Raw genomic sequence first — 13,212 nt, 5'->3', positions numbered from 1 at the left:
CTAGTTCCACCTCACCCCCAGGCTGGTCTCAAACTCCTGACCTCAAGTGATTTTCCCACTACAGGCTCCCAAAACACTTGGATTACCGGCATGGGCCACCACACCAGCCAGAATATGTTATTTTAAAAATCGTTAAGGGAGACAAAATATATCTAGAATTCATTAAGTGGAAGTGGATCATCATGAAGGTCTTCATCTGCATCATCTTCACATTGAGTGGGCCGAGGAGGAGGTGGAAGGGAAGGGACTGGTCTTGCTGTATTAGGGATGGCAGAGGAAAAAGAAAATCCTTGTATAATTAAACTGCAGTTCAAACCCATGTTGTTCAAGGGTCAACCATACTGTCATTTCAACATGTAAGCAATATAAAAAAATTGAGCTATATTACATTTACTTTCATATTGTCTTCAAAACCCAGTATTTTACACTTAATAGCATACCTCAAATTTTACAACAGCCACGTTTCAGGCAGTCAGCAACCACGTGTGGCTAGTGGCTCCCATACGGGACAGCACAGCTCTACATGGTACATTAACAAGTCTCTTATAACTGGTAATTTTAATACACATATATTACTAAGTTATTGTCTTTTTTCAAAGAAAAAAATCTTGAGACAGGACAAAGCTTTTGAAATATTTAAGCCTATCTTTAAAATGTTAGTCTATTAACCATTGAGATTACTAACCTCTCTTCAATGTTTTAGTGAATAGACATGTATGACAACGTCCCCATGAAGTTACAGCAGAGTTGAAAAATTTGTATCACCTAGTGATGTCATAGCTGTCATAAAGTGTAACACAATTACTTTACTTTTCAAATTTAGTGTAGCCTAAGTGTGCAGTGTTTGTAAGTCTACAGTAGTGTAATGTCCTAGCCTTCACATTCACTCACCACTCATTCACTGACTCACCCAGGGCAACTTCCAGTCCTGCAAGCTCCACTCATGCTAAGTGCCCTATACAGGTGCACCATTTAATCTTTTATGCCATATTTTTACTGTATATTTTCTTTATATATATATATATTTGTATACCTAACATAGGTATATTTATGTATGTATACCTATGTTAGGTATACAAATAGTTGACTGTTACACTTGCCTACGGTATTCAGTACAGTAACGTGCTGTACAGATTTGTGGCCTAGGTGTGTGGCAGGCTGCATCATCTGGGTTTGTGTTAAGTACACTCTAAGATGCTCCCACAACAACAGAGTCACCTACCAACACATTCCTCAAAAGGTATCCTCCCCATCAAGTGATGAGTAACTGTACTTTCTGATCTGATAGCAGAGCTGGCTAATGAGCCAGTAGTATACACAACCCGGATACACTGGACAATGGGATGATTCGCCTCCTGGGCAGGATGGAGTGAGACCATGAGAGATTTCATCACACTACTCAGAACTGTGTGTAATTTTAAAAGCACGAATTACTTCTTTCTTTCTGGAATTTTTGAGTTAATATTTTGGGGCCATGCTGACTACAGATTATAAATCTCAGAAAGTGAAACCTCAAGGGGGGACCTACTGTAATATTGCCTGAACTCCCCTCCTTGGCCTTATCTCTGGCAGCAAATGTGCAGAGGAGACCCAAAGAAATAATGTAGGACTGCAGGAAAGATGAGGAACCAAGGAAACACTTTCAACAAATAATCCAAGCCCAAGAGGCCAGGCAGAGGTGAAAAACTTGGACCCAAACCAAGAGATTGGCCACCAGGGACAACCAGATGAAATAAACAGCCTTAAATAATGATGAATAGGATGCATACCCTGGAGATCCCCCAGAGACATATATAAGCCGTCCCCTGACCACAGTATAAAGGAGCTGCTAAAGGAATTAAAATTGGCTCAAACCACTGCTTCATTCTTTACTCAGAAGTCCAGAAAACTACAGGCTTGAGTGTGATTTTGAAAAACAACGGTTATTGTGCCAGCTCCAAATCCACCCTGCTTTATGATACAGGAGTTGTAACCTAGAAACGTTTCCGTTTTGCCAGTGGATCCAACAGCACAGCCACTGAGGGACACAACAAGTGGAAGCGGCTTCACTTCTGGTTCTGGCGCTTTTCCTTCTTGCTCCTACTGTGTCACTGTCAGCATGTGGCTTCCTTGCCACCAGTGGCACCTCTGCCGGGGAGGCATGGGAGACCCAGTGGTGTGGGCGCTCTGGAGTTCTGCTAACGCCCCAGGAGGCAGGTTTCCTCCAAGTATCAAGAGCACCCTCAGCAAGTGACTTCCTAGTGAGGTTCCCTGGCACCCTGGCACCTCAGCAAACTTCTCCACCCACACTCTCTTCAGTGAGATGTGAATCTCAGCCTTTGAGGAGGCGGGAAAGGGCTCTTCCAAGTCTTTCTTCGGTTACTCTGTCTGCAGGTAGCAGCTGCTCCCTACATCTGCCATTCCTGTATTATTTAGAGATGTCTTTGTCCCTCTTAGTAGTTAACTCCCTACTACTGGTCAGTAATCTTCATATTGAGTCTTCCTTGTTCAAATTACTGGTTTGCTTTCTTTCTCCTGAACAGATCCTAAACCCTGAATGATACCATAATTATTTGTAAGATTTAAAAGACGATGTATATTTTCTAAATCACTAAGAAAATTAAAACCAAGAAATTACAGTCCATTTACAGACATCAGTGAGAAAGTGTAAGACATGATTACAGAAGACTAAAGTCATTAATTAGCATGAAAAACAAAACAGACCCTATTAAAAGCCAAAGACTCTCCAAATGGTTTGAAATACAAAATTCAACAAGATATGCTGTTTAAGAGACAACTAAAAATTATATATGAAAGTTGAAAATAAAAGGATAGACAATTTATCATGCAAATATAAGCAAAGAAAGAAGAGAAATTCTAATAAAGAAAGTAAAATTCCAGGCAAAAGGCATAAACAAAACAAAAAGGATAGCTTTAGGCCATGAAGTCTTCCTTATGAATTGTATGTAACAGACACAAGTATTCTATACTAAATAACACTATCAAAATATACAAAGCAAAAGCTCTAGAGAAACAAATGAAATTGAGAGAAACAACTATAATCAGAGACTTTAAGAAAACACTATTCTAGGGTATCTATAACAACAATAAGAACATTAAATTTGAATAAATTGGTTGAATGAATACACATTCACCTCTGTCCTATATAAACTAAATAAATCTTCATTTATAACATCCATAGAACACTTTTTAAAGATGCTAGGCCCCCAAACCTCAATAAACAGAAACTACATAAACCACATTTTTTTCCCACAAGGTAAAAATCCCACAACTAGCAAAAAAAAAAAAAAAAAAAATTTAAGCCAACCATACAGATATTTTGAAAAACTTAATTATTGAACCAGAAATTTAAAACACAATGATATACTACTTAGAAAACAAGACTACTACATATCAAAATGGCTGGGATGTGAACATATTTGAACTCAAAGGACAGTTCAAAAGTCTTCAACACATTCATTTGTATACAAGCAAAAAATAAGCATCAGTCTCAAAAAGTCAAAAAACTACAGAAAACAAAATAATAAGCCTAAATTGAGAAATTAACATATTTTAAAACAAAATCACAATAGATAAGCCAATAAAAACACTAGTTTTCTGAACAGAAAATGTATACCCTTAACAAGTCTAGTCAAGTAAAAAGTGGTAGAATTAAGAGAAGGTAAATTTCCTATAACTTAGAAATGGCAAAGTTAATAGAAAAGAAATTGCTATTAGAATTTTCTGCTAACAACAGATGTTTAAATTTGAACAAAATAAAAATATTTCTTAAAAAGTATACATTACCTAAATTTACTAAATAAACATAAAAGGAAGAATATATTTTAAAAACAATTTTTTTAATTTAAAGTTGCTTAAATTTAAAAATAGGTAACATAATAGTCACAAAAGAAACTGACAGTTATAAAGAAATTATTTCCAGAAAGCACTGTGAACTCAAAAGTTCTGTAAGTACAGACTTTCAACCTTTCATGAACAAATCATTCCCATGTTATAACTGCTTAATGCACAGAAAAAGATATACAGTTATCCTATTTACTTTAGAGAGCTAGCAAAATCCCAATATCAAAATACAATAACCAGGCTGGGCATGGTGGCTCACACCTGTAATTCTAGCACTTTGGGAGGCCGAGGTAGGTGGATCACCTGAGGTCAGGAATTCAAGACCAGCCTGGCCAACATAGCAAAACCCCATCTCTACTAAAAACACAAAAATTAGCCAGGTGCGGTGGCACATGCCTGTAGTCCCAGCTACTTGGAAGGCTGAGGCAGAGAATCACTCGAGCCCAGGAGGCAGAGGTTGCAGTGGGCCAAGATTGCACTACTGCACTCCAGCCTGGGTGAGAGAGCAAGACTCCATCTCAAAAAAAAAAAAAAAAAAGTACAATAGCCCAAAAGACCAATCTCACTAATGTAAAAATGTAAATTTCCTAAATAAAAGATTAGTAAATCAAATTCAAATGCATTTCTAGGGAGGATGCATGGTTGGCCAACATTAAGTCTGCAGTCACTGTAGTGTAGTTTTTCTTTGATGTCGTTTTTTATTAGACAGCATTATGTCTCTAATATTTCAAAAAGGACTCTCCCTTGTGGTGGTTTCTTTCAGCTTTTTATCACATTTTATTTCTATCCCAAAGTTACTGAGACTTTAACATGCTTAACACAAGTTTTAACAATACCTTAATGAATGCCTTAACAACCAATACCTTAGTGAACAATACCAATGTGAATGTTATTTTTATTATTATTTTTTAATAGAGACAGGGTCTCACTATGTTACCCAGGCTAATCTTGAACTCCTGAGCTCAAATGATCCTCCCACCTTGGCCTCCCAAAGTGCTAGGATTACAGGCATGACTCACCACCCCTGGCCTCAGTGTGAATGTTAAAATAGTCACCAAAATCGCTGTATGGTGCTGGTAAAGAATCCTGGGCTTTACAGGATACTGACAAAGGATAACAGTGTGTCTGTTCACCATTTCAAGTGGCACCACTACCTGGCAAATGCATATGCAGTTTACAATGTGCCAGTTTTGAAATTTTGTAATTCCTGCCGATTTTTTTAGGCTATAAGTATGTGAATTACTTCAAATTTTGAAAACAAAGTGAGCCTTTATTAATATTAGATCAACTTTTAAATCCATATAATTCAAGTCTACAAAAAGTGCAAATAAACTATAAATCCTTTAAAATTTCTTTTAAAAATTAATCTACCTGATTCCAGGAGTGCAAAGATGATTTAATGTGGGAAAATCTATTAATATACCTCATCAAAACATCAAATGAGAACAATTATATGAATGCTTTAATAGATGCCCAAATGGTATACTGTTTAAAGTTCCAGAGCCATTTCTAATTCAAACTCTTTAAAAACTAAAAGAGAGACACTGTCTTTCAGATAAAGACTATCTAACTCCCAACAGCAAACTTAAAACTATGGACATTCCCATTAAAATAAGAAAAAAAAATGTCTAACATCATTATTGTTAACATTGTCCTAAACATTTCAGATAACAAAACATGCAATAAAAGTGAAATAAAACTATCAGAAGAAACACTATCATTATTCACTGATGATACTGAAGTTTTTCCTAGAAAACCCAGAACTTACTGAAAAAAGTATTTGAATTAAGTGACTACACACCAGGAAAATATCAATTTATCGTCTGATAAGACTATTAAGTATATACCTATCATGTCTCTCCACATATCTCCACTACTATTACCTGGACTCTAGTTAGAATCACTATTATTTTTTTGTCTGGATCACTGCATCAGGCTCCTAATTGGACTGGCTTCCCTATCTCCAGCCTGGTGAGATTTTACACACTAAGGAGATAGTGATGTTTCTAAAACCAAATCTGATCATGTCATTCCTTTGCTTAGATCTTCTCATCGATTCTTATCATATTTAAAGTAAGATCCAAATTCCTTATTATAGCCTTATTTATGTGGCTCTATACAACGAGGTCTTATATACAGAAATGCCATTCTTGACACTCTAGCTGCATTGTCCTTTTTGTTCCTCAAACATACAAAAGAGGCTTTATGTTTGCTATTCACTCCACCTAGGATGTTCTTTCCTTGAATCTCACAAGGATAGCCCATTCTAAAATGTCAATCACATGTTATCTTAAATGTTACTTCTTTAAGAGGTCTCTTTGGCCGTGCAGCTTATAGTGGTACGGTGCGGCACAGTGCAGTGGTATAGTGGTGAGCATAGCTGCCTTCCAAGAGGTCTCTTTGATCGTCCAGTCTAAAATAGCCACTCATTCACTATCTCATAATCACCCTACTTTAATTTCCTCCACAGAATCTAAAACTCATGGTCTGATACTTTCCCTGGACATACTTAGTATCTCCTCCCCACTAATGTCACCTCCATGAGAGCAAGAACTCTGTCTTAATAACTGCTTATCTCCCAACACTTAAGTGTCTGACACATAAGAATCACCAAATAAACATTTGGATTTTAATTGTCTGTCATTCTCAAAAGACTATAAGCTCTACTAAACAAGAACTAGGCCTATTTTGTTTGTTGTTCTCTCTCTAAGACTCTGGCACAGGGTATACATTCAATATCGAATGAATGAATGAATCCCTTCCCTTCCTATAGTCCCTAGTATTCTAAGACTGGGCAAACGTTTTTGGTGATGTCAAAACATTGCTAGTCTATAATGAGCTTGTAGCCAACTGATACTGTAACTAAATCAATTTATATGAATTATATAAAATTAAATATCTCCACCTCTATCCATTCCCCAAATTCTACACTGATGTAACTGACTTCTTAGGCTAAACATAGAGCTTTAAGTTTGATGGCCTTCTTGAAATTAACTTTTAAAATGCCTTTGTCAAAAAATACTTATAAGAAAATAATGGGGCAAGGAAGTTAAATCTTTTAAGCCCTGACCCATAAATTATTTAAGTAGCTGGCAGACAAGAGACCTTCTTTAAAGTGATATTAACAAAAAAAAAATTTGAGGTACTAAAAAGTTAATCTAACTTGTCAGTGTATACAGAAATGACCACTCTTTGCTGAAACTAACAAAGCCACAAAGAACTGCCTCTTAAGTGTTTAAGATACTGCATCACCATTTTGATTACCCAAGAGTTACTCATTAAATATGACACAGAGTACATAGCTGCTGGTTTGCAGGCACTCTTAAGTATCTAATTACTTCAAACAAAAGGCTACATTCTCAATTTTTTATATTTTGTTTTTATTCAAGAGTTACTCACAGGCAGCACTTTAAAATTAGGCTTTTTAAATTAAAGGCCAAAACTAAAAAAGTTTGCAAATATGACATTACTAAAAGAATGATAGCCTTAATAATTTAAACTCTAAAATGTCCGTCCTGTGGAGTTAAGGTCTTTATACACAGAATGTGTAAGATCGATATCATTTAAAATAAACAACTGAAAAACCACAGATGGTGGGTAAATTTGTCAATGAAGATAAACATCAGTTTCAGCCTTCTAGAGTATGAAAACCGGCAATTAATTAATCCTGTGACAGAATATAAACTGTACTTCAGAATTTTGACTTTAAAGTCTCTTTCTCCAGCAGCAAATCAGCATATCTATGTTGAAGTTCCTTTTCTCTTTCTTGTTGTCGCTGAACGTCTTCTTTTAGACACTTAAAGAAAAAAAATTAAGTAATTATTTTAGATGTAACTATACTGAAAAAAATCTACAGTACTTTATTATCTTAAAAACCAGCTGAGTTAAATCATGATTCTTAAGAGTTAAATATTTCTCAAAGAGAAACAAACATATCAAATACTTTTGCTATAAAACCAGTATCACAGCCATTCTTTGATTTGGTCATATGAAATCCTGCTGCTACTTCAAATAAACAAACCACTACTGTCTTATCAATACCCACAAATGCACTTCAAGAAGCCCTGACTGCCCTTTAGCTGGACAGGAGCTATTATGCACATTTGGGAGATAAATTCAATCCAAACCTGGTCATAGGAATTTGATGGTTTGGAAGGACTAGCTATGTTCCCAGCAACATAAGGTATAAAACAAAAAGATACTGGTTTAGTTTCCCCTCACTGAGCTACATGAATGGGATGCAATTAAGTTTCAAGGGGACAAATCACAAGGGCTAAGTATTCCATTTCACAGTGTATCTACATATTGGAAACAGAAAATGAGTAAGGGAAGGCCTTTGTATCTACAACTTGCCTGGTCTATCCATCTACACAGAGGCAATTCTAGATTAGAAAGTCAAACACTTTAGGCTCTCATTTTTAAAAGCCTGACAGTACCAACTTCAGAGACAGTCTACATAGGAGAAGTAAAAGAGGACAGCCCTGATAATTCTTTGCAGCACTCTTTTTAAACAACAGTTCAATATATAACGTTACCTCTAGCCTCCGGGGAATAGCAGAATCTTCATGTTTCTTGAGTTCTTCAAAAGTGCGTAACTCCAAGTGAGCCTGTTCAATTTGGTCCCATAAGTCATTCAACTGTTTCATGAGCCCCATAGCACGAGACTGGTAACCCCCAAGCAAAATTTTCATCTTCTTTTCCATCTTTGCAGCCCTCTTGGCTTCTGTCGTCATGTGACCCCTGTTTATCTGGAGAGCAGGGGAAGATCACATCAGCATACATGAGAAAAGCAGGCTATTAAATAACAGGGCTAAAAAGGTACCATGCGTTCATGTATGTGTCTCAAAGCAAAAATACACTAGAACTCCTTATAGCTCAATTACTGTAACAAAATATCAAGCTTAAGAAGGATTTATCTTGCACCTAAAGGGTTTTATAGGTGAGTCCTAAATAATCTATAATCTATTTATAATAATTTGACCCACGATTGAACTTCAAAGAGGGCTTGAATGTCACAGTATGGGAAAAACTAATGTCTACTTTCTGAAAATGACTTCTGCTATCATTCAACGTATTTATTTTGGGACTAGCTGCAAGCCACCTTCATCATCTATATCCCAAAAATTTATTTCTGGGAGTCTGTTCACACATCAAGACCCCAACTTTTATAATTTCCATCCAAGTGCCTGCATCCTAAATCTCCTGGCTCTGGGAGCTGAGGGATCTAGTGCAAGTCTTCCTAGATCACTAAATCCCTAGAACAAGAGAGATACTTTTAATCAAGCATGCAAGTACTTTCAGGGACTGCACCCTTTGGGGGCAGTGCAGAGAAGCAGCTAAGAATGTGAAGCTCCACATTTCTCCCTGGAAGGGGCTCATGGCACAGTCTACCAGTGGCTACTCGACAGCCTGGCTTTTAACTTGCATGGGGGAGTTAATGGGACAGTGCAAAAGTAGCCTTCTGGCAGCCTAAGCAGCAGCTGGACACTTTCCAAGCCTTTCCCCCTGGCCTGCCCCAGCAGTAACTTTAGGCCTACCAATTCCTCCTAGAAGGAGTCTGTCCACACATCAAATGCCTCAATTTGCACAGCATCCACCCAAAGGACTATATCCTAAATCTCCTAGATGTGGTAATGGAAGAGACTAGGCATATGCATGTCTCTCTAGATCAAAAAAACAAGGAGGTGGTTTTAAACAGGTGTGCAAATACTTTCTAGGGCTACACTCCCTGGGAGCAGTGAAGAAAAGAGTCTGGAACATGCAGCTCTCATTTTCTCTCCAAAAAGGGTTTATAACTGCATACTCTTCCAGTCGCTACTTGACAGCCTGGCCTCTAACTTGCATCAGAGAGCTAATGGGGGAGACAAACAGTACCCCTCAGGCAGCCTGAGCAGGAACTTGGCATATCCTGAGCCTTTCCCCCAGCACATCCCACTGATAATTCCAGGCCTACTCATTCTTCCTAAAAGGAGTTTGTCCACAGACTGAGTGCCACACTTTTATAGCTCCACACAGACAAGGGACTGTACCCTTCACAACCTAAGCTCTGGAAGTGACAGGGCTTTGCATTCCTGAATCTCCCTAAACCACAGAAAACAGAGGTGGACATACTACAAGCCCACTTCCAGCAGATATCTCCCCAGGATCGTAGAGTGCAGCCACAACACAAGCATAGGCATTTGCCACAGAGATGGCTTAGTGTAGAAAGAGTGGAAGAATCAAGCACTTGACTTCAACATGATGACAGAAGGAACTAGGACACATACCCAACACCTCAACCTTCCCAGCTACATCTATGCATCTGGCTTCTGCCTTACTGATCACAGGGTACTAATGGAATATGGCACCAAGAATAGAGACAACAGTCTGAACAAATACAAAGATTTAAAAGGTATCTTAAAATCTCTAGCTGGATGGATTGGTGAGATCCTTCTGCTACACAAGGCTAAGAAGACTGAGAGAGGCAGTTGTCTCACGTAATGCACAGAAACCAACACAGAGAGAGTCAAGAACAATTAAGAAATAGGAAAATATATTCCAAAAAAAAAAAAGCAACAAAATAAATCAACAGAAACCAACTCAAGTGAACTGGAGATATATGATTTACCCAACAGGAAATTCCAAATAATGGTCACAAAGATGCTCACCGAGGTCAAGAGAGCAATGCAAGAACAAACTAAGAACTTCCACAAAGAGACAGAAAATATTAAAAAGTATCAATGAGAAAACATAGATCTGAAAAATACCAAAACTGAACTGAAAAATTCAATATAGGGGTTTGACAGCAGACTAGATCAAGCAGATGAAAGGATCAGTAAACTACAAGACAGGTCACTGGAAACCATCTAATCTCAGGAGCAAAAAGAAAAAATAATGAAAAAGAGTGACTTAAGAGACTTATGGGACACCATCATGGAGAACAACTTATGCATTATCAGGTGCCAGAAGGAGAAAAGAACAACTAACATATTCAAATAAATAATGGCAGAAAAATTCCCAAGGCTGGGGAAGGAAATGGAAAGCTAGATCCAGGAAGCCCAAAAGACACCAAATAAGATAAATTCAAAGAGACCCACCAAGACACATCACAATTAAAATGTCAAAAACTAATGGCAGAGTATTGAAAACTGCAAGAAAAAAGCATATCACCATGTATAAAGGAACCTCCATAAGACTATCAGATAGCTTCTCAGCAGAAACCTTTCAGGCCAGAAGGGAGTGGGATGATATATTTAAAAATAGAAAAAAAAGAAAAGAAAAGAAAAGGAAGGAAGGAAAAGAAAAGAAAAGAAGGAAGGAAGGAAAAGAAAAGAAAGAGAGACAGGGACAGGACAGGGCAGGAGAGGAGAGAGAAGAAAGAAAAAGAAAGAGAAGAAAGAGAGAGAAAAAAAAACTGCCAACCAAGAATACTATACCCAGCAACCCTGTATTTCAAAACCAAATGGATGATAAAGACTTTTTCAATCAATAGCTAACTTTATCACCACTAGACCTGCATTACAGGAAATGCTAAAAGGAGTTCTTCAAGCTGAAGGAAGAGAACACTAATTAATAACATGAAAATTTATTAAAGTATAAAACTTTTTTTGTATATTTTGGATATTAACCCCTTATCCAGGCCAGGGCATGGTATATACATTGTCATATCCAAACATTCTAATACTCTAATGGCAGTGAGTAAATCAATTATATCTCTAGTATAAAGGTTAAAAGGCAAAACTATTAACAACTGAAGTGCAACAATTTGTTAAGGGAATAAATATTATATAAAAATTTTAAGTATAACATCAGAAATACAAAATATGGGAGAAAGGGGTGTAAAAGTGTATAGTTTGTGTATGCAATTAAAATTAAGTTGTTATCAACTTAAAATACCGTTATATAAGCTGTTTTATGTAAGCCTCAAGTTAACCACAAAGCAAAAGTCTGTAACAGACAGACAAGAGATAAAAAGATAAAATCCAAAGCATACCACTACAGAAAGCCATTAAGACACACACACACACACACACACACACACACACACAACATACACACACACACAAGCAAGAGAGGAGGAATAGAACAAAGGATCTATAAACAGAAAACAATTGGCACTGGTTAAGTCCTCACCTATCAATAATTACTCTGTAAATGGATTACATTCCCCAATCAAAAGGCATAGAGTAGGCCAGGCATGGCGGCTCATGCCTGTAATCCCAGCACTTTGGGAGGCTGAGGTGGGTCTATCATGAGATCAAGAGATCAATACCATTCTGGCCAACACAGTGAAATCCCGTCTCTACTAAAAATATAAAAATTAGCCGGGCATGGTAGCGGGCGCCTGTAGTCCCAGCTACTCGGGAGGCTGAGGCAGCAGAATAGCTTGAACCCAGGAGGTAGAGGTTGCAGTGAGCACAGATCGCACCACTGCACTCCAGCCTGGCGACAGAAGGAGGCTCTGTCTCAAAAAAAAAAAAAAAAAAAAAAAGAACAAGACCTTACAAAGTGCTGGGATTACAGGTGTGAGCCACCACTCCCGGCCTGGATAAGGGGTTAATATCCAAAATATACAAACAAACAAAAAAATTCAAACTACTCAATAAAAAACAAGTAACCCTATTTTTAAAATGGGGAAAGGACCTGAATAGACATTTCTCAAAAGACGACATACAAGTGGTCAACAGGTACATGAAAAAAATGCTTAACATCTCTAATCATCAGAGAAATGCAAATCAAAACCACAATAAGGTATTACCTTACACCTGTTAGACTGGTTATTTAAAAAAATGAAAAACAGTATGTGTTGGCAAGGGATGTGGAGAAAAGAGAACCCCTGTTCACTGTTGGTGGTATTGTAAATTAGTACAGCCATTATGGAAAACAGTATGGAGGTTCCTCAAAAAACTGAAAACAGAATTATCATTCAATCCAGCCATTCCACTTCTGGCTATACATATCCAAAGGAATTGAAATCAGTATGTCAAAGAGATGTCTGCACTTCCACGTTCTTTACAGCATTATCCACAACAGCCAAGACACGGATTTTTAAAATATGGTATACACATAAAACGGAATACTATTCAGTCTTTAAAAAACAGGAAATCCTGTTATTTGCAACAACAGATGGACACAGAGGACATTCTGCTAACTATGATAAGCCAGGCACAGAAAGCCAAATATCATATGATGTTAACTTGTATATGGAATCTAGAAATGTTAATCTCATAGAAGTAGAGAGTACAATGGTGGCTACCAGAGGATACTGGGGTAAAGGGTAGATAGGGAAAGGGGAGATGTTGGTCAAAGGTACAAAGTTTCAGTTAGACGGAAGAATAGGTTCTGGTGATCTATTACATAGCATGGTAATCACAGAATCATGTTTATTTC

The 13,212-nt window shown here is 37.4% G+C and overlaps 1 protein-coding gene across 2 annotated transcripts in view; it reads right to left on the bottom strand.

Moving 5' to 3' along the window:
• CDC5L (cell division cycle 5 like) overlaps positions 3,821–13,212 on the bottom strand; it is a 62,720-nt gene continuing 53,328 nt past the window's right edge. For both annotated transcript variants that reach the window (NM_001253.4, XM_047419605.1), the window contains 2 exons: positions 8,379–8,591; positions 3,821–7,639 (listed from right to left, as the gene is read on the bottom strand). In NM_001253.4, coding sequence (NP_001244.1) covers positions 7,535–7,639; positions 8,379–8,591 — 318 coding nt within the window. In that variant the 3' untranslated portion in view covers positions 3,821–7,534. The remainder of the gene's footprint in view (positions 7,640–8,378; positions 8,592–13,212) is intronic.

This window comes from Homo sapiens, chromosome 6 (genome assembly GCF_000001405.40).
Source record: "Homo sapiens chromosome 6, GRCh38.p14 Primary Assembly".
In the NCBI taxonomy this organism is placed as follows: Eukaryota; Metazoa; Chordata; class Mammalia; order Primates; family Hominidae; genus Homo; species Homo sapiens.
This window is presented reverse-complemented; position numbering and strand designations above follow the sequence as displayed.